Source organism: Homo sapiens, chromosome 2 (assembly GCF_000001405.40).
Source record: "Homo sapiens chromosome 2, GRCh38.p14 Primary Assembly".
Classification (NCBI taxonomy): Eukaryota; Metazoa; Chordata; class Mammalia; order Primates; family Hominidae; genus Homo; species Homo sapiens.
Window position 1 is genome coordinate 54,974,175 of NC_000002.12, and position 22,652 is coordinate 54,996,826.

At 37.1% G+C, this 22,652-nt stretch overlaps 1 protein-coding gene across 13 annotated transcripts in view, besides 2 other annotated features; it reads right to left on the bottom strand.

Moving 5' to 3' along the window:
* Positions 1–22,652, bottom strand: part of RTN4 (reticulon 4) — a 165,643-nt gene that overhangs the window by 1,986 nt on the left and 141,005 nt on the right. For all 13 annotated transcript variants that reach the window (NR_135829.2, NR_135830.2, NM_001321904.2 and 10 more), the window contains 3 exons: positions 13,317–13,524; positions 8,341–8,479; positions 521–590 (listed from right to left, as the gene is read on the bottom strand). Coding sequence is in view for 11 of the 13 variants with exons in the window: in NM_001321904.2 (NP_001308833.1) it covers positions 521–590; positions 8,341–8,479; positions 13,317–13,524 (417 nt within the window). In the remaining 2 variants the exon portion in view is untranslated. The remainder of the gene's footprint in view (positions 1–520; positions 591–8,340; positions 8,480–13,316; positions 13,525–22,652) is intronic.
* Positions 288–489: a silencer, noted in NCBI's record as "fragment chr2:55201598-55201799 (GRCh37/hg19 assembly coordinates)". NCBI's record gives its function as "represses an EF-1alpha promoter that drives an FKBP-Casp9 reporter gene in an ReSE screen in K562 erythroleukemia cells {active_cell/tissue: K562}" and the evidence as "EXISTENCE:reporter gene assay evidence [ECO:0000049][PMID:32094911]".
* Positions 21,444–21,623: an enhancer, noted in NCBI's record as "active region_15771". NCBI's record gives its function as "activates an Ori minimal core promoter by ATAC-STARR-seq in GM12878 lymphoblastoid cells {active_cell/tissue: GM12878}" and the evidence as "EXISTENCE:reporter gene assay evidence [ECO:0000049][PMID:35858748]".

The following is a 22,652-nucleotide window of genomic DNA, read 5'->3' on the forward strand; positions in this document are numbered from 1 at the left end:
TTTATCTGGTTTATCACTGTTTGTTAGTAGGAGCTGTCTTCAGCAACTAAGGTAGCATTTCAATAAACCGGGAAGCAGTATCACCAACTTATTTAAAGAGAATACAACCTCAAACTTATTTTGAGATGGAGTTTCACTCTTGTTGCCCAACCTGGAGTGCAATGGCACGATCTCCGCTCACTGCAACCTCTGCCTCTTGGGCTCAAGTGATTCTCCTGCCTCAGCCTCCGGAGTAGCTGGGATTACAGGCGTGCGCCACCACGCCCAGCTAATTTTTTCTATTTTTAGTAGAAATGGGGTTTCACCATGTTAGCCAGGCTGGTCTCGAACTCCTGGCCCCAGGTGATCCGCCCACCTTGGCCTCCCAAAGTGCTGGGATTACAGGCATGAGCTACCGCGCCCGGCCCACATTTTCATCCCCTACTTTTCATACAATGAGAATATTCTCCACTAAAATGTCTAAGCTCCTGGCACACAATCTTTCCAGCAATTTTTCATCCCAATGGCTTTGTAGACTTACCCAAAATCAGTAGTGTCAGACCATTAAACAAGGCACCAACATAGGTAAATACCCACATCAACACTGCAAACTATAAGAAAATAACATTAGCCCATTATAAACAAAATTCAAGTAAAGTTTCTTAATTATGCTTTCAAAAGCATCCCATCTAAATGCCTACCTACAAAAGGCATACAACTTGAAGACTGGGTAAAGTACCATGAGCAGTTCACTATTAAGTCACGAGTCTCAATTATGAATTTCAAAATCCTAAAATAATTAATAGATTTGACCCATTTTCTCTGGACTACACTACCAAGTAGTTGATTCTGCTGAGATCAGACAATATACCAAGGGTGCATCTTACCCCTCCAGCCCTAACAACATTTACCTTTTAAATGGGAAGACTATAAAGGTGTTATGAGAATTGTCTATTAGAATTGATTTCAAAGTATGAACTAGTTGAGTGCTTGAAGATATATGAGCTGAATAATTCAGACATTAATATCTCAGCTGATAAGCAATAATTGGGCAAAGAGTACTTATCAGGGAAATTACGTTTCAGGTACCAAAAATATCACCTCTAGCCTTTGAAGGATCAGGCACAAAGTCAGTCTGAATTTTGTTAAACATTGGTCATCATCAGTTCCTTTGCTTTCTAATTCAAGGCCTTCATGTGTATGTCTGGCAATCACTTTGACCTACTTAGTAGGTAACAAACATGATGCCACCAGCTACAGTGATTATTTAGGCTTATGTAACACTATAAATGAAAAGGGGAGTAGTAGAGCACCCCCATTATCTAAAGCGGGGATCAGCAAACTTTCTCTGTGAAGAGCCAGACAGTAGAATTTTAGGTTTTATGGGCCACATAGGGTTTGTGTCTCATATTATTCTGTGTCGTTGTCATAACCCTTTAAAAATGTACACCACCCACTCTTAGCTCCCACACTATACAAAAACAGGCCGTGGCCCAAACAAGCAGTGGTTTGCTAACCCTTGATCTAAAGCATATATCTTTCTCCATGTATTAAACGAACTCTGACTGAATGCTTACTGACCATTAATTAAGCAGTCAAACATTAGTAAGCATATTTATTACAGCTTAGGAAGACACTTTGGATGACTCTACCAAGCAACAGTTCTACAAATAGCAACACTCTGGTCACCCTAACTGAATTTAACTAATGTTCAAGTCAGTAAATATCAGGCATTCTTAATATCTGTCAATTGAAAAAAAATTTTTTTAAGCTGCCGTATTCTTAGCAATTGCTATTGGAACCCCTGGTAGAAAGGTTTGAAGGATGACTTCAGTTAGTAAGGCTTTTCTCTCACAGTTTTATAGACTCCTATTGCTGAAGCTAAATATAACTTTTGCACTTGAGCAAGTTTACTATAGAGTAAGAGAGTTATTTTTATCCATCACTATCCACAAGTCTAAAGGGAAAAGTGTTGACCTTCCATATTTTAGAAGAAATTACTCTAGCAACGAAGATGCCCTTAACATGACAGAAGATAGTAACAAACACAAGCTAAAATAACTCCTCATTTGGTCATTACAGTCACTGACAAGGCTTCACTCCAAGTCCACAGGGGAAAAGCCCAAGACTTCACACCTGAGCCACTGTAGGGGCTCAAATGTCACTTGCCTCTTTGAGAACACTTCCTAAAAGCCAGGCTATCCCAAGACAAAGAGAAGAACACAGGGAGGTCTCAAATGTCCTTAGGGCCAGGCAGGTGACATACATGTATGTGAGAGGCTGGGAGAGAACTGAGGCACACAGTGATATGCATTCTTCCTCTCAAAGGGGCACTTACAACCCTGCTCCATACGCTGTGGCCATGCAAATATTCCAGGCCAGTGTTGCCAGAAATGTACACTTTTGTGTGCTATCATATAATTTTTAAATGTTGCAGCTATGTTGAGAAAACTGAATACTTCGGCGGCCCAAAACAGAAATAGTGGTTAAGTGTATTCAGGGAACACACCACCAGGAGAGAAAGGGGTGGCAGCAAGAACTAACCTAGAGAGTAACCATTATTAATGGGAATCCACCACAAATGATGGATTTGTAACATGGCAGGAATAAGGTCAATAAACACTTTAAAGAAGCAAACAGGCTGCTCTCATTTTGGACTTAACAAATTCTACACGATTCCATGGCAAATACTTTGCAACATTATAGCCAATACTTATTAACTGAAGAGGTCAAAGCTTATCTCTCCATTGCACAGTATCGAGACTGGAGGAAGGAGGCCTAAAATGTAATGAAGATCTAACAAATACTTACTGAAAAGGGGCAAGGGCCACATCTGGTTTATCTTTCTTCCAGGGCAATAAGAGAATTAAATTCACTGTGTATAACACACCTGATTAAAGAGCTCTGCAGATTTGTGATGTTTCAATTTGGGGGAAGGGGTATCTTTAAGGCAAACGGTGGGAGAGTGCTTAGTAAGATCTCAGAAATTACTCTGGCAGTTCTGACCATTTCAAAACTTTCCTGCACTCTCAAACTCTAAACTCTACTTGCCCTTCTGTGTCTCCTTCAGATTCATTCATTAGTTGGTAGTTTGGACTCTCTCTATATCCCCAGCCCACTTCCTTCTAATTTTTCTGAGAGCTCAAGAAACCTGAAAGGAAGCTGTCAAAATGTGAATGTTAACAGCTGCCTATGAGCCTGAGAGCTAGATTTTAGTGTTCTTCTGGGTCAGCTATTTCTGGAGCTCAGGCCGTTTTTTTTTTTTTCTTCCTCTCACTTTCAGATTTAAGATTGTGTTCTGGAACATTATAGTTGCGCCTCAATTACAGAAAAGTAAGAACCTCTGCTGAAAATACCTGGTCTTAGTCCCTAAAAAAGTAAAATTATTAGACAGCTTTTTGGGATTTGAGGTTTCAAAAGACAGGAACCTGCTAAGAAGGCTCAGTCAGACTCAATTAGCCCAAAAGCTGAGCCCAGTAGGCATTGTCATATGCTTTTCTTTCATAATTGCGGGTGGGAAGCGAGGGGAGGGAGGATTTATAGTTTAATGCCACAACTTTTTAAAACAGTGATTTTTGCCATACTATTTGACTAGGAAAATGATCGTTGCTCACTCTATAAATACTTGAAATCTTTTCTAGGACTTAGAAGTTTGTAGTTAATTGCAAAGGAGCAAAACAAACGGAATATTACACAAGAATTTAAAAGGAGAACTCTGCAGAACATGTCTTATTTTTATTCGCCCAAGTCAACCACCAGGAAACTTGGACCAGGCACACGGATACCCATCATTTCACACCGGTGTTTATAAAAGGACTAATGAGCCCTGGAGTTTGGTTATTTTTTTGATCACATTTTGAAAGGCCAGGCTCCTCCTTCACTGCCCCCGCCAAAAGGCAATAAGCAAGGAAAAGGTTTCACATGCTAGCAAGAGCGGCTCTAAAATTTCAATTTCTGAGGAAGATGGTTTCACATGGAAATAGTCATAATTGTAGGCTGGGCATGGTGGCTCACACCTGTAATCCCAGCACTCTGGGAGGCCAAGGCAGGCAGATCACCTGAGGTCAGGAGTTCGAGACCAGTCTGGCCAACTTGGCAAAACCCCATCTCTTCTAAAAATACAAAAATTAGCTGGGCGTGGTGGCGGACACCTGTAGTCCCAGCTACTTGGGAGGCTGAAGCAGGAGAATCACTTGAACCTGGAAGGCAAAGGTTGCAGTGAGCCTAAGATCGCACCACCGCCCTCCAGCCTGGGTGACACAGCGAGACTCTATCTCCAAAAAAAAAAAAAAAAAAAAAAGAGCTAGTGATAATTGTGACCCAGAATCTAAAAATGTAGATATAAATTTGAGGGCACACAACAGATTTTGCATTTATGAAGACAATGAGTTATAGAGATACTTCTTTCAAATTGTTGTTTAAAAACTATTATTTTGTAAACACAGAGCTTGATAAAAATGTCTTTTCTAAATGACAAAAATTTAGAAATGAGAGTAATTTCTACTACATTTTCCTGAAATTAAGATGGTTTCCATTTTCCTAGCTATGAATCATATAAAATCAATGTAATTCCAATAAAAAGCTACTTCCTATAAATTTTAAAAAACTCATTGTTATTTAAATAAGAAAAAACATTCATCTCAACTGGAGAGACTGGAGCTATTAGCAAACTTCCCATAAATTTAAAATCTGACTGTAAGGCATTAAAATAAATCCGTTTAAACAAGGTAAATACATTTTTCCTTATGTTGAAAAAGTAAAAAAAGAATGGGAATTGGAAAAACATTTTTTGCTTGCTTTAGGGTGACAGAATATAACTTTCCCTACCAGTTTTTGTGGCTAAAAGGCAAAAAGTAATACAGTCCACTATTAAGGAACTTAAGATTAAGATTTTAATAATTTTTTTTTTTTTTTTAAACAGACAGGGTCTCACTCTGTTGCCGTGGCTGGAATGCAGTGGTATGATTATGGCTCACTGCATCCTCCACCTCCTGGGCTCAAGAATCCTCTTGCCTCAGCCTCCCAAGTAGCTGGGACTACAGGCATGGGCGACCATGGCTGGCTGATTTTTCAGTTTTTTTTTTTTTATAGAAACAGTCTCACAATGTTGCCTAGGCTGGTCTCAAACTCCTGGCCTCAAGCAATCCTTCCGCCTTGGCCTCCCAAAGTGCTGGGATTACAGGCGTGAGCTACTGTGCATGGCCAGGAAAACCTTCTTCTTTTTAAAATGCTCTCTATATAAACAAAAACTGTGGTGGATAAGTGTGGCCATACACAGAAGTCTCTCTAGAAAGGTAATCCTATCAAGCGTTTTTATAAAAAAGCAAAGTGATTTTTATCAGCTTCCTTTTTTCAATAAAAGCTGTTTTAAGGAAGTATTCAGTATTTCTGTATATTCAATGGAAACAAACACATGGAATCTGTACTACTCATATACAATGACATTAGGAAAGGGTTTAGCTAAATTCTTGTGTGGCAAAATCACAAGGTTTATCGTTTATCAAGGAAGACCTTTCATGTACATTATCAGAGTGTGCACCTGAATTACCAAGGGCTTTACCTTTCATGGGGAGAAAAGGACAGATTCCCTGCCTTATTCATTTGCCTCTAGATTTTGAGATCTAAATGCCAGGTTCACTTTAAGTGCTAACATGATGAGGCAACTGTTACTTATTTGCAGTCCTAAATGAATTGCCAGCTGGGGAAGTCACCAAGCAGGTTTCCTTGAGCTCTGGGCTTGCCAAAAACACAACTCAGGGAAACCAATCAAGTACGTTTTTCTTCTCTTCTCTTTTTAAAAGGATTGCTAATCCTTAAGGATAAATTATAATTTTAATGAAAGTCCTTTTTTTCAATACTAAGAAACAACAAGTGTTCCAGAAAGGAAATCTGTCTCATCATGTGTTACTTTCTGTTACTTTCAAATTAGCAGTCACTCAATGCAAGAACTTATCAAGTTCGATTTCTCTCATTTATGCTAGCTTCCTCATGAATAACATAATTGCTTTTACAAAAAAATGTAGTTTTCAAAAGAAATTAAAATATAAGATTTAACAAAGAAATTATTTCTCAAAACTTTTTTTAAAAAGTCCTCATATTCGATTCTCAAATACGTGTGCAAAACAGAGATTTAAAATGTTTCTTAAGATCTCATCAGCCCCTTTCTAACATTTTCTCTCTCCTCTTGCCCCGTATCTACACAATGGACTGTGTATGGATGAAAATTTTCTCTGAAAGAATAAATAAGTTTTCTTTTGATTAAAGACAAGTGGAAACTTTATACTCAAACTCAGAAAACTAGAGCATAATGAATCATTCCCAGATCAATTTTAAAAATAGATTTATTCAAGAATGACATTTCTCTCAAGAAAAATGTTAAATTGTAGACATATAGCTGCCTTCACTGCTATACTGTGCAAACATCGAGGATGACTTTTGGTGTATCTCTGTTGCCGTGTTTATTGAATCTATAAAAACAACAAGCATCTCTCCTCTCCCCTAAGCTCACCAGGCTTTTCTTTGAAGTCACCTCTCTCCCCCACCAATCTTTGACTACTAAATTCAGAGATGGTCCTTTGCTGTTTGAAGCTCTGAATTACTACTTACAGACAGTATTTCTTCTCAGTCAATTCCTACCCACAAACCATCCATCTTAAGCGGCATCAGTACCTCCTCCTCAATCACTTTTCACACATGTTCTACCCTAGAAGTCAGCTACGTATAGAAGGTAATAATACATGAATAGGAACTGGTTTCCTCTAGGCTGTATGTACAAGGTTCTATTTCATTTGCTCCAAAATATTTTTAGTTGATCTCTTTTGAAACTTATTAACCAAGCATGCCAAACAACATAACCGTAATCTTTTTATTTACAGACTAACATCAGATCATTTTAAAACACCACTACAGATTTAGTCACTAAATGCAACCACTCTATACGAAAGAGGTAAGTAATAAAAGGAAACTACATTATTTACCCTTGATGTTATTAGGAAGTAACTTAAGTTCCAAGTCATAAATAAAAATAAGAGATGCGGCTGGGCGCAGTGGCTCATACCTGTAAGCCCAGAGACGCAAACAGCTGAAAATAACGTATCAACTACTAGGTTATAAAGGCTAAAATGTTTTTGTTTTTTTTTTTTAAAAAGCACTTTAAGCACTTAAACCTATTCTGACCAGTTCAGAAATTGTTTTTCTGAGTCTAAAGGCCCAGTCACCTTATTACTACTATATCCTTGGCATGTGTGATAAATATAAACTAGAACATTTCTCTTGGAAATGAAAAATGAAAAATTATGAGAATTACCACCACTACATTTCTGCCCAGGCTTAGATTGGAAACAAGTCTGCCTGTTTTCTGCAGAGTCACAGGAAAGAGCATATACAACACAAATGACAAGTTCTATGAAAAAGAAAAGCACTACAGGTCCAGTGCTTCAGGCTTAAATTACACAACTGTGGTTTAGTGCCTGTTTCGTCAGTCAGAACTTTGGGAGAGTTTATTTGCAAGGTGAGACTCTTAACAGCTGCTTATGTAGCGAGATCCAAAAACTAAAGAAAAACTTCCAATGATTACCAGTTGAAGATTAGTTGAAGTGTTTCAGAATATTAAATCTTATCTAGAATAAGAAAGAGTCCAAGATATGAAATAGCTTTCATGTACATAAGTGCTAGACTGTAAAGCAAAGTCAGAATGAATAAATCTGATAATGCATTAGACGATCTTTATGCTTATAGTCAAAATTCCGATTAATTTCCTTTCCTTTTAATCTTTATGATTTCCGAAAGTATTACTATATATATATATAATTTTTTTTTGAGACAGAGTTTCACTCTTGTTGCCCAGGCTGGAATGCAATGGCGTGACCTCAGCTCACCGAAACCTCTGCCTCCCGGGTTCAAGCGATTCTCCTGTGCCTCAGCTTCCTGAGTAGCTGGGATTACAGGCATGCACCACCACGCCTGGCTAATTTTGTATTTTTAGTAGAGACGGGGTTTCTCCATGTTGGCCAGGCTAGTCTCAAACTCCTGACCTCAGGTAATCCACCCGCCTCGGCCTCCCAAAGTGCTAGGATTACAGGTGTGAGCCACCACACCCGGCCCACAAGTATGATTTATAACTTATTCTCCTTTAAAAAGGAATACAGGACTCTCTGTATTAAGTATGACCAGAAAAAAAAAGGGAATAGCACTTCTTCATCCTTATTTGATTGGATTCTGAATTTTAAAACACAAGTTTACAGCCATGTGATTTAATTAATATTTATCATTTACTTGAATATAGAAGAACAGAATTTTACACTCAACTCTCTTGATACTAAATTCTGGGTATATCAAAAATGAAAGGCAAAATAAACTTACCTTCAGAGAATCAACTAAATCATCAACTAAGAAGAGGCGCCTGAGTTCCTTTATCGTGCAGTTCACATGACCAAGAGCAGAATTACTGTACTTCTGAACCAACTCCTCAGATATAGCAACTTCAGATTCCAGATATGCCCTAGAAAACAAAACACATCATAATTGTCACTAATTGGAGTGATTTTCCCCTAAATGTCAATCAGAAATTATATATCTGTAAGAAATTAAGAAAATATTCTACTATAAAAGCCAACTGTTTCCAAATTAGGGGCAATATAAAAACTCAGCAGTAAGGGGTATTTCCTTGATATGCACTGTCTGCTGACTAGCACAGAAAAAGCATACACTTTGAAGCCAGACTGATCTGGGCTTGAATCTGATGCTCTGCCACTTACCTGGCTAGGTAATTTTGCAAAGTTATTTATTCTTCCCTCTAAACTTAGTTTCCTCATTTATAAAGTGGAGATTATCATGAGAATTCAGTGAGAAAAGTGCCTAATGCAACTGAGCACAAGGATGCACTCAGTAAATGGTAGTTATGACTATGGTTGTTTTTTTTTTTTTCTTAAAGTTGACACTATGTTGTCTCATCACGTTTTCCTAACAAAGATCTTTTTCATTTCCAAATCCTAAACTCTCTCAGACTAACCTTTAGGGGAAATTGTTCAATATGTCAAGCACCAGATTGTAAAGTGGCTGCCAAAAGCACAGTAGCAATCCTAGCAAAACATAAGAGTTACATCATCTAGATGTTTTAATCCATACCGAGATGGCTAAAATTGTTAAATTTAAAAGTATTGTATTGGTAATAAATAAATAAATAAATAAATAAATAAATAAAAATACTATACTGGGGAAAAAGTCAAGTCCACAGGAATGTAAGAAACAGTTTCATTACTGTTTCAAAGAAGCCATTTTATCTTGGCAGGGTACAACCAACTCAGAAGTGCTGAGTGTTCCCTCGTATCTGTTGGAAGTAGTCCTCATAACCTCCCTATGTCTCAGGATGCCAGTTTCTTACAGTGGAAATAACATCTTAGACAACTCCTTGTCCCATAGTTTTACCTCTGCAACATGCCCCAAATATGTCTCCTGGTTTTTATTCACAGTGCCATCACTCTATTTTAAGCACTTACTATTTACGAGCTGGAATATTCTATCACTCTCCAAACCAATCTCTGATCTGCCTGCATCCAAATCCATTCCGTCAGCCAATGCCAGAATAACCTTATGTGAGCTATCTTAGATAGTGCTGTCTAGGCTGAACTCAAGCAAGAGTTAGAAGACCTGCCACTACCTAGCTATACAACATTGCAAAAGGCATTTAACTTCTCTGGGTAAGTGCTCCAACTCTGTAAATTTGAGAAACAGACTTTCCTCAGTTCCTTCAGGCTCAAACATTCTGTGATTCTATGACTCCAACTTTTCAACCAGGGACATCCTCCTAAATCTTTCCAACCTTACTTCCAACTACTCTTTATGTTGCAGCCAGAAATGAGTCATTCACTAAGTATTTTTTAACCTTAATGTAGCCCTTATTAATCATATGGTTTTCCCAATCTGCAATGCTCTCTTACCTCTGGTGATACCTTATTTAGCCAGTTAGCCCCATCTCAAATCTCACCCATACATAGAGCCTTATCTGCCAATCTCTTTCATAAAACCCTGATGTTCTCTCTCACTCCTGTATAATTCTAACAATGCTTTCTTTTGTGTTAGTCTTATAGTATTTACTAGATTCAGCTCTGAAATATAGACACATGTATACTTGTATATTTTTCCTACTAGAGTATAAGCTGTTATGGACCAGGAATGTATCTTTACTAATACATGGTCTAACACACTGTTAGACAATTATTAACAAAAAACTGAATTATTAATATCAAGTTAAAAATACTCAAATACTCGCACTGATATTTAAACCAGCAATTATTTGTTTACCCAAATTTGAGAAATATAGGAAAGTGGCTGATATAACCCTGGTTGGTATTCTGCTTCTTTGTACCACTGTTACTTGTTCTTGCTGAAGACAAGATGCCTAAGCAGAAGCCATAAAGACAGTACTCCCCATCAATGACATCCTGTAGATATTTACACTAATTCAACTGACATTTATGTGATATTAATACAATGCCAGCACTGTTCATCACTCAGTAACCACAGGTATTAGATACAAACCACATAATATCACCTCTACTAGTATGATTAAGGGGTACTAGGAAAAACTGTCCAACAAGCTTAAACTGGTATGTTGGCTGAATTTACTTTATAATGACTATAAAAGGACTTTAAGAATATAAAGTGTTTCTAGCCAGGCACAGTGGTGCATGCCTGTAGTCCCAGCTACTTGGGACATTGAGGCAGGAGGATTGCTTGAGTCCAGGAGTTCGAGACTAGCCTGGGCGACACAGTGAGACCCATCTCTTTGAAGAAAGTTTAAAAAATGAATAAAGTTGTTTCTAAGAAGGAAATAAATCACTAATATTTTCCAAAAACCTCAAAAATCAAATGATGTGTAAAATTGGAACGGTAGAAAATTTAGAAGTTTTGGCTTGACAATATTTTTACATATTTCAGCATAACTAATTAAAAATCATACTTCTTTATGATTTGTGGCTTGATAATAATATGACTCGGCCTTTTTTTTTTTTTTTTTTTTTTTTTTGAAAGAGTCTCGTTCTATTGCTTAGGCTGGAGTATAGTGGCATGATCACAGCTCACTGCAGCCTTGAACTCCTGGGTTCTAGCAATTTTCTTAGCTCAGCTGCCTGAATAGCTGGGACTACTGGCATGCATCACCACACCTGGCTAATTTTTAATTTTTTGTAGAGATGGGAGTCTCACTATGTTGCCCAGGGTGGTCTCCAACTCCTGGCTTCAAGCAATCCTCCTGCCTCAGGATCCCAAAGCACTAGTATTACAGGCATGAGCCAACACGTTTGGCTGGCTCTGCCATTTTCAAACTACAATTTCAAGTTACTGAATTCCAACTTTTTCCCCATCACCCCATAAAATGGAGTGATACCACCTATCTCACAGAATTATCACAAATTTAAAATAAACTTATTAAAATATGTACATAAAAGGTTAGACACATAGGAGCTATTCAATAAATGTTGGTCTCTCCCCCTAAACTTGTATAACATCATTACTTCATCACAAAGAGAAAGCCAGAGAAAAATCACCAGTCTTTACAATAAACAAAATAATTCAGTAGGTCTCCTCTTTCAAAGTCTGTAAATCCATTTAAGTTTACCCATTAATATCAACTGGATCATGTTGTAGGTAGGTACATAGTCATATGCCCAAACAGATATTACCTTGCCACAAATAGTTTTTTCCTTTGTTTCCCCTACTTTCAAGCTAACAAGTTAGAAATAGTTTTTAAATTATCTCAATCTATTTGAAGAAAAATGATCTCCTTATGCAAAACAATTAACATTTCAAAGGCTTAGTTAATGCAGTAGGAACTGAATTTTCGGATCATTTGGGGTCAGGGTTAGGAAATTCTCCAAAGAGCTGGGTCTTGAACCAAACTAAGAACCAAATAAAAAGTATGACTGAGGCAGCTAAGGAAGGCAGCATGAACATGGGTACAAAACTCTGGAAGGGGTAAATGAGAGACAAGACAAAGACATATGGACTTCATCCTACAGTCTATAGAGGGCCGGTGCATTTTCTTTTGTTTTTTTTCTCTTTAGAAAAAAAGTGGTACTTCTAGAAAAATTAATCGGACATCATCTGTAAGAACTGAAGTAATCCGAGGTAACTACAAGTCAATGTAGTAACAAATGGAGTCCAATTAGGGGTCAGCAAACTTTCTGTAAAGGGCCAGATAGTTAAGCATTTTAGGCTTTCACGTCCATATGGTCTCTCTTAAAACTACTGAATTCTGCTATTACAGTACGAAACCAGCTACATGAATGAGCATGGCTGTGTTCCAACAAACTATTTACAAAAGCAGGCAGCAGACTGCATTTGGCCATGGCCTTGCTTTACAGGCCCCTGGTTAGACTGAGGAAGCAGTGGAAAAGAACAAAATTTTGTGATTTTCCTAACAATATTTAGTGATTTTCTTTATATGAGATGAAAACAAAGATAACATCAAAACAGGAGCCTGAAAACTAGCATGGTAGTGGTGTTATGGATAGAAATTAACAAGTTTGAGGGGAAAAGTTCATTTAAAAACGTGGTGAATTAGTCGTTGTCGGGCGTTGGTTGGGGAGTTGAACTGTTAATAAGTAGGAAGTTTCTTTTTGTGCGATGAAAATAGTGATGGTTGTAGAATTCTGTGAATATACTAAAAACCAATGAGTTTTATGGTATATGAATTATATGTCAATTAAAAAAGAGGGGGAAAAACACGCAGAGTATGAGGTGAGGGCAGAAGACTCAAGCTGAGGTTGTGTCTCCATAGCAACTATATAATGCTATAGTATACTTGTGAAAACAAGGGTAGAAGATGATAGTTGAGAGACAAGGAGATGCTGAAATAAAGCTCTCCAAAAAATAATTAAAAAGTAAAGCCTTAAGAAACGAGAAGAAACTAGATAAAGAAAATACATAAAGAAAAGCATAACAGAAAACATCAGCATACTAGAAAGATACGAAATATCAGAAAGCACGTTATCAGACAGCATAAAAAGCAATAAAGAATATCCTCATCAAACCTACCCATGTTAAAAAGATACAACACTCATTCAAGTAAGATAACCAATGCTTAACTCTAATAAATATTCCTAACAAGTAGCAGAGTTAGTTTAATGATACATAAACAGTCTCCTCCATCATGAGCCTTTAAAACGACTTTTAGAAAATCTCAAAAGCAGATGTTTTTGGTATAGCTCAAGCAAATAACTGCAATTATCTTTAACAAAAAAATGCATGCTTGTAACTCTATAGACAGTAGATGAAGTCTTAATACCAATCCTGTTTACACTATTGCCAATGCATGCCTTGTTTTCCAGACATCTCACCTGAATGGGTGGCCTTCATCTGATTTCTGGATAGCTTGGATCACACCCTTGTATATCCTAAAGCTGATGGTCACAGAGAGCAGGGCCAAGGCAATGTAGGCTGTTACGCTCACAATGCTGAATACTGTCAATGAAAGCAGCAGGAATAGGCTGGCACCAAACACCACTCCAGTCTTCTTAATGTCTCTCCAGTACAGGAGGTCAACAACTAAAAATTGAAAAAGAAATCTGAAATTAGAATGTTATTTTATCAATTTGGATTTGCTCCATCTATGAAAACAAAAACGCTACTACATAAAGTAAAATCAAACCTAAAAATTTAAAGAAACACTAAGTTAAAGAAACACTAACTTTATAACCCACATTTTAAACCCACTCTTAGTTGTATATTAGTATAACACCTTTATTTTTGACCACGAAATGTTTTTTATTCAAATTTATTTCTGCATAACCAAATCATTCTAGCCATACACAATGATTAAATGTCTCCAAAGCCTAGAAGACTTCTAATCCAAAACAAGGAGTTACTTAAAATAATCTTGGGGGCTGGGTGCGGTGGTTCATGCCTGTAATCCCAGCACTGTGGGAGGCTGAGGCAGGTGGATCACCTGAGGTCAGGCATTCCACACCAGCCTGGCCAACACGGCAAAACTCCGTCTCTACTGAAAATACAAAAATTAGTGAGGCATGGTGGCGCATGCCTGTAATTCCAGCTACTCGGGAGGCTGAGGCAAGAGAATCGCTTGAACCCGGGAGGCAGAGGTTGCAGTGAGCCGAGACTGCACCTCTGCACTCCAGAATGGGCGACAGAGCAGGACTCTGTCTCCAAAAAAATCATCTTGGGGTTTTTCATCTCATACAATGCATGCTATATATTCAAATAATTCAATAAATATATTCCAATAACAGAAAAAATATTAACACACTAAAATGAGATACTTCAGTGATACCAAAATATATTTATATGCAGAAAATAAATTTAAAAAGGCCGAGATACAAAAACTACACATATGAATGAGCTTTTTTTCTTATTTGATTTTTTTGTGCTAGTAATAACTCTGCTCTTAAGATCTGTCTTTTAGAAACAAAATTGTAACTTAACCTGGCTATCATTAAAAGAAGAATTTCCTACAAAGAAAAAGACAAAACAAACAGCCTTTCGATTACCTGAAAAGCTACTTCCTTCTAAGAGTTGATAGATATAATGCCATAAAAATTTAGGGGTCAAAGAAAAAAGAAAAGTAAATGTGTTACACATTTACATAATGTTTATTAATAGTAAGGAGTCAGACAAAGCCCAATTTAGCATGTCTGCTCTTGGACATGGCCACAGGGCCACTGAGGGGATCAAGTAAGCATAGCCTGATGTCTCAAAATCGGGTTATGCTCAATGCAAGGAGAACCCCGAAGTGTGCCAAAGTGCTCTTGAATTCATAGGCTGATGTAATTAATCTCTCTCTGAACTGTGAACAATTGGGAGAAAAAAATTTATAGTAAATATGGATATACTCTTTCTAAGAAGAGGTGACATCAAAGAAAAATCACAGTTTTAGGGCTGCTTTGGTTTTGATCCCCAAGGTCCCCTAAGATGTATGTAACTTTCCTTTGCTCTTAAGGGTACTTCTGTAGGGAAAACTATGTATGTGAACTGCACAATGTTGGATATTAGTACAAAGCCCTTAACTGCTGCTAGTATATCATGAGTACTGTTTAGGATATTTTAAATGCCCATCACTGTGTCCAGTACATAGCAGGGATTCAAACACTTATTTCAGTTGCCTAAATGGTCTGGCTTGAATGCTATTAATTTAACATTCTATATATGATTTCGAAGTTTGTTTTCAAACTCTGATTTCAACTATTTATTCAAATATTCCCAAACTTGTTTGTTACAGCCCCTGCCTAAAACATCTAAAGGCGCTTAGTGCTATTCCACTAGTTTCTACTATTGTACTAGCACAACTGAGGACTGACAAGAACTTGAAATGGCCTATCTATAGGTTGTCAAAGGGACATTACGAATAATGTCATATTGAATAAAGAGATAAGAGCAACGCTAATAGGTTTCTGGCAATCAGCAAACACTTAATGAGGTGAAACTGTTCAAGTAACTCAACCTAGCAGAATGAGAAAACTCATTCTGATTCTTGAAGGTCTTGTCCAACATTACAATTCTAGGAAAGATAAGACATATAAAAGCAAGTCAATGAAGGTATAAAATAAACATTGCACTGCTATAAGAACTCAGAAAAGGGAAAAACTGGAAGAAATGTTAAGACTGTGAAATACTGTAAATGGAAACTGAGCTGGGTCTTGAAGAATGAATGCGACCTAGAAAACCTAAAGGTACAGGCCTAACTGTAAGCATCTTTCTGCTAACAGTGGTTCTAATAATTAATGCCTTTTTTTTTATTAGGAGGGTACAGTGAGAGAACACGGGGAGTGATGATAAAGACAGCCCTTGGTAGGATCACTCTTTCCTGTGAGGCTGCCTTTGTACCCTACAACGGTGACTTAATACACACAAACAGAAAACTTAGGTTCTATAGTTGGGTCACCTAGACTAAAAAAATGGTTGAATAACTTACGAGCTACGTGACCTCAGGAAAGTCACTAAAGTCCTCTATATTTCAGTTTCTTCATCTATAAAATGTATATTAAAATAGGAATGAACAAAAGGCATAAAGTTTCTAGATAGAAAGGAGAAAAAACTTTTGAGATTTACTGCACCCCAGGGTGACAACAGTCAATAGTTGTATGTATTTCAAATAACTGAGAGTAAATTTCATGTCTCACCACAAAAATAATAGGTAACAAGGCGGTACTTTAATAAGTTTGATTTAATCACACCACATTGTATACATGTCAAAACATATTGTACCCCATAAATATATACAGCTATGATTTGTCAATAAAAAAATAGGAATGATCTCATTGAGATGTGATTCACTAGATTTTTCATTAGTAAGATAATTAATGTAAAGCACTTAATAGAGTACATAGCATACAATAAATTCTTAATAAATGTCAGTGCTATTTGTTGCTGTTATTATTACCACAATCACAATCATCTTACTCAATACTTAAATAGTAAATACATAAAGAAGAAAATTTCAAACTTATTATTAACTTTAGGTTAATAAACTATACTGTTGTGTTATATTGTAAACATGTTACTTTATAAACCATATGGGAAAGAATTTTAAAGCTTATCTAAGTTTTTACTATTATAGGGTAAGTAAAAGCTAATAGCCCAAAGGAATCAGCAAGTAAGGTGTACCTCAAATATATTTTTCTTTTACTTTTTTTTTTTGAGACAGAGTCTCGCACTGTCGCCCGGGCTGGAGTGCAGTGGCGCGATCTCGGCTCATTGCAAGCTCCGCCTCCCAGGTTCATGGCATTCTCCTGCCTCAGCCTCCCGAGTAGCTGGGGCAGGCGCCCGCCACCATGCCCGGCTGATTTTTTGTTTTTTTAGTAGAGACGGGGTTTCACCGTGTTAGGAAGGATGGTCTCGATCTGCTGACCTCATGATCCGCCCGCCTCGGCCTCTCAAAGTGCTGGGATTACAGGCGTGGGCTACCATGCCCGGCCTCTCAAATCTATTTTTCATATGAACAAATGCTCCTTTATAAAAGTGGTTCTCAAACTGCTCAGAAACATTAATTAACCTTCAAAATCACTATTGGTGAGAAGTTAAAGTAAATGCAGATGTACTTGCTATTTTTTACCATCATTAAAAACTACTCAGTAAAACCTGGCCATGAAATCAATGACTTTAGATTTGAGAGGTTTGCACTGTACAACATAAATTAATGTCTAATCAAACTTCCTAATATTATAACAGAGTTACTGTTTAAACAGGTGTAGTGACTATATATGAATTATTTATAATTAGTCTATAATTTCTACCTAAATGAATATGGTAGAAGGAAATATCAGGACTGGGATTCAAGAGACCCACATCCTAGCATGTACCAGCTCAGCAATTGTGTGATTTTGGATACGACTCCAACCTCTCTGGCCTTCAGTTTTATCGTCCATAAAGGGCATTAATCTTCTAATCTCTCTTTTCCCTTAAGGAATTAACATGACCCACAGTCAGTACAAAGATACACACATTAGTACTGCATTCAAATTCCCTGTCAGTGGATCCAAACCGATGAAGTTTTACTACTGGGGCATTATCTGTGCTCAATATAATTTTAAAATATTTCCTTCCTTTTTAGATCTAGATTTTTTTGGGGAGAAGGAAGCTTAAATATTTTTATTCATACCAGTCTTCTGATTTGAACCTTCCTAGAAATATCTTAAGTACCAGACATTATTAAAACTTTAGGAAAATAACAAATTCATATTCCTACAATTTTTCAAGCAATTATAAACTCTATCATTATGGCAACTGTATGAGAGAAACTTTTTAAAAGTTTGAAAAATGATACGCTTAAGCCTGATAGATGTTTTGATTGCTGATCTACATTCTCCAATCTCCACACCTCCTTTATGCCAAACACTGCAGTAGCCTATACAACATTATCTCTTTCAATTATTAAAACCTAATGAGCCACTATGCAAAGTGGGTTATGCCTGTAATTCCAGCACTTTGGGAGGCCGAGGTGGGAGGCCAGGAGTTTGAGACCAGGCTGGGAAACACAGAGACCCCTCATCTCTTAAACAAACAAACAAACCTAATGAAAGGTAGGCTTGAAAGAGTGAAACCCAGCTCCTACATGACTAGACCCAGATCACATCATTAATAAGTGGCAGAACATGGATCTGAACCCAGGATTCCTATGGATAAAAACTCATATTCTCCATTGTATGATGCCAAATTGAAGGCTTAGCTGATTAAAGTGCTTCAAAATGTTATACGTGTGCATGCATAACAAATGGGCAAAGTGTAGGCAGATAATTACAACATGCAAGATGAATCATAAAGGCCAAGAAGAAAAGCTAAGTGAAATTAACAAGATAGTTTAATCAATAAGGGACAAATTTTAATGTGAATATTTCACCTACTGTTAGACCCAAAAACCGAGAACAGGGCTTTACTCCAATATATTTGATAAGTACTTTCCCACAGTAGAGAACTATAATTAAGTTGTTGAAAAATGACTTTTAAAAACTATGTGAATCTAATTAAATAAAATCAGGGTATATTTATGCAAGAGAAATGTGTAGCCATTAAAAAAAAGTGATACAGATCTACATTATCACAGAAACATGTCCATAATGATAAATGAAAACAGCATGTTACAAAAAGACTCACAGTATATTCTCACTTAAGAAATTAAACATATGGCCGGGCGTGGTGGCTCACGCCTGTAATCTCAGCACTTTAGAAGGCCGAGGCAGGTGGATCATGAGGTCAGGAGATCGAGACCATCCTTCCTAACACGGTGAAACCCCGTCTCTACTAAAAATACAAAAAAAAAAATTAGCCGGGCTTGGTGGTGGGCACCTGTAGTCCCAGCTACTCAGGAGGCTGAGGCAGGAGAATGGCGTGAACCCGAGAGGCGGAGGTTGCAGTGAGCCGAGATTGCGCCACTGCACTCCAGCCTGGGCAACAGAGCGAGACTCCATCTCGGAAAAAAAAAAAAAAAAAAGAAAAGAAATTAAACATATAACTATGAAGTCTGAAAGTATATCTACTAAGCAGTGTTTTTATCTCTGCATAACGGGATTATCAATGAGTTTTACTTGCTTCTTTACTCTTTTCTGTGCCATCTGAAATGGTCCCACTCTAATGGCAAGCATGAATCATGACTATAATCAGAAAAAAATTCACCCCATTCTGTTTCTATTCGGTACTACTGAAGAGTCTTATGAGTGTTATTTTTCCCAGTAGGCTTTCCTATTGGAAAAAGAACACCCTGTCTGTTAGGTTAATAAATATTTGGATCCAGCCAACAGTTAAAATTCTAGCAGTATATAACTAAGTTGATGATTCTGGTGTTCTGCGTTGAATCAAGTCAATTTTCCCAAAGTTAATGATACCAGAATAGTCATGTATAAGGCCCAGCAGTACTCAATGATAGTAAGCCCTAACCTACCACTTCCTTTCCTCTTGTCATATGGTTCCTAGGAACACGGTCTTTTCAATAAATGGAAAAGCTCTGAAAATTACATACGTAAGCCCACACATACTGAATAAAAATATGTAAGCAGCTACATGAGAGTAGCTCAAAGCAGGTATCATGACAGACATACTGAAACAAGTACTAGGAATGCTCTGGTGGAGCCATCAGACCCTTTAGAGCCCTGGAGGAAAACAAAAAGGGAAGAACAGCCAAGAGAAATGAGACAACTAGGCACTGATAGTCACACATAAGATAATATGAATATATCCTAGAATAGGAACACCTGAGAGGCAATCTACACTGCCACCAACCCCACTGTGCAAAGTACAGAAGAATTTCCATCTTTTTCCGTAAAGAAGCTGAAAAGATTGTTAGTGAAGCTGCAAGAATGAAAAAAATATTAGTTGATACCAAACAGTGTGGCTGACTTAATTGACATTTGCCAACAAAATTTCTAGTCCCTTACAGATTCCTCAAATTGGTTTTAATAAAAAAATTTTGAAAGATTGTTTATACAGGATAAATGATTCTCAATAGGAGGAATGTATAGAACTTTATTAAAATCCCTTCTGAGAAATATAGTGTTTTTCTGAGAAAAATACTGTTGCTTCTAATGGTCAACAAGAGAATTATTAGTTAATTTAGATTTATTAGTTAACTTAGAAGTTTGTTCAATCCTGATACCAAAATCAGACAAAGACATCACAAGAAAGGAAAACTACAGATAAATATCCCTTATGAATATAGATGCAATAATCCCCAACAAAATACAAGCAAACTGGATCGAGCAACATATAAAAAAGATTATACACCATGGCCAAGTGGCCTTTATCTCAGAAATACAAGATTGATTAAACATACGAAAATCAATCAACACAATAAATCATATTAATAGGATAAGGACAAAAACCACATGATCATCCCAACAGATGCAGAAAAAGCATCTCACAAACTCCAACACCCTTTCAAGATAAAACATTTAACATACTAGGAACAAAATGGAACATTATCAACCTGATAAAGAGCATCTACAAAAACCCACAGCTAACATCAAACTAAATGGTAAAAATCTTTCCCCCTAAGACTAGGAACAAGACAAGTACATCCATTCTTGCCACTTCTGGTCCTGGGGGTGCTATGCAGTGCAACTGGCCAAGAAAAAGACATACAAGGCATCCATATTGGAAAGGAAGAGATTAAACTCTATTTAAAGATAACATGATCTTATACAGTAAATCCTCACTTAAATGTTGAGGATAGCTTTCTGGAAACTGCAACTTTAAGTGAAATGACATGTAACAGAACCAATTTTACCATAGGCTAATTTATATAAACAAGACTTCATTTTCTATGGCATATTTCTGGTCACAAAAACATCATCATATTCTAAATAAAGGTCGGGCGCAGTGGCTCACGCCTGTAATCCCAGCACTTTCAGAGGCCAAGGCAGGCAGATCACCTGAGGTCACGAGTTTGAGCCTGGTCAACATGGTGAAACCCCATCTCTACTAAAAATACAAAAATTAGCTGGGCATGGTGGCCGGTGCCTGTAATCCCAGCTACTCGGGAGGCTGAGGCAGGAGAATAACTTGAACTCAGGAGGCGGAGGTTGCAGCAAGCTGAGATCACATCACTACACTACAGCCTGCATGACACAGAAAGACCCTATCTCTAAAAAAAAAAAAAAATCTAAATAAAGACTCAAAACACTTCTACTATTAAACACTGAAATAAAGTAAGCTATATATACATTTAAGAAAGATTTTTTAAAACACAATTTTTGGTGAATCAGTGATGGTGGTTGTAGTGGTGGTGGGTTAAATCAAGGAACAAATGTCTGCAAAGCAAATACTGTGGTAGGAGCACCTCCTACCACCACCACACAGTTCAGAAACAACAAATATGGAGGGATCTCTAAGTGCCTTCATACTGCATCATTTATTGTTGTGCATTTGCATGATTATTATATACTTTATGGGTTTTTATTTTATAATAATCTGTATTCATTCATTCATTCGTTCATTCATTTTCTAAGCTGCTTATTCCAGTTCTGGGTCACGGGTGGCCAGAGCCTATCCTGACATCTCAGGGTGCAAGGCAGGAACCAACCCTGGACAGGACACCATTCCATCACAGGGCACACTCATACACACACCCCCACACTCATTATGAGACAACTGATACACACCAGTGAACCTAATGTGTACATCTTTAGAATGTGGGAAGAAACCACAGAGTACCCAGAGAAAACCCCATGCAGACATGGGGAGAACATACAAATCCCATACAGACAGTGGCCCCAGCAAGGAATTGTTTTTTTTTCTCTTCCTCATGCACATTATAACGAAACAACACTGAACAAAACAATGATATGAGGGTCTGTTGTATGTATTTTAAAAATTCTAAGGAATCCACAAAAAGCTACTAGAAATAATGAATGAGAGTCCAGCAAGGCTGTAGGACACAATATCAATATACAAAAATTGTATTTCTATACACTAGCAATAAACAATCTGAAAATGAATTAAATAATTCCATTTGTAATAGCATAGAAAAAATAAGATACTTAGGAATACAGCGAAAAGAATTTCAAGACATATGAACTATACATAACACACTGTCGAAAGAAATTAAAGATGACTTAAATAATTGGAAAGACTCCTGTTCATGAATTGAAAGACATTAAGACAGTAACACTCCTCAAATTGATCTAAAATACAAACACTATCAAAATCCCAGCTGTCTTTTAGCGAAAATTGACATGCCAATTGCAAAATTCATATGGAAATATAAGGGATCCAAAAAATCAAGAAAAACTTGAAAAAGTACAACAAAGGTTGGAGGACTCGAACCTCCCTATATCAAAACTTCCTAAAAAGATATAGTAATCAAGACAGTAGAGTAGTTACACAAGGACAAACAGGTAGATTAGTGGAATACAACTGATAACCCAGAAATAAACCATTACATTTATGGTCAACTGACTTTCACAAGGGTGCCAAGGCAACTCAATAAGAAAAAAACAGTCTTTTAAACAAATGGTGCTAGGACAACTGGATATCCAACTGCAAAACAAATGACGTTGGATTCTTCTACTTCATATCACACATAAAAGTTAACTCATAACGGCCGAAAGACTCAAAGTTAAGAGCTTAAACTAGAAAACTCTTTTATCTTTGTTTCTTATCTTTTTGTTGTTGTTATTGTCGCTGAGACAAGGTCTCACTCTGTCACCCATGCTGGAGTGGAGTGGTGCAAA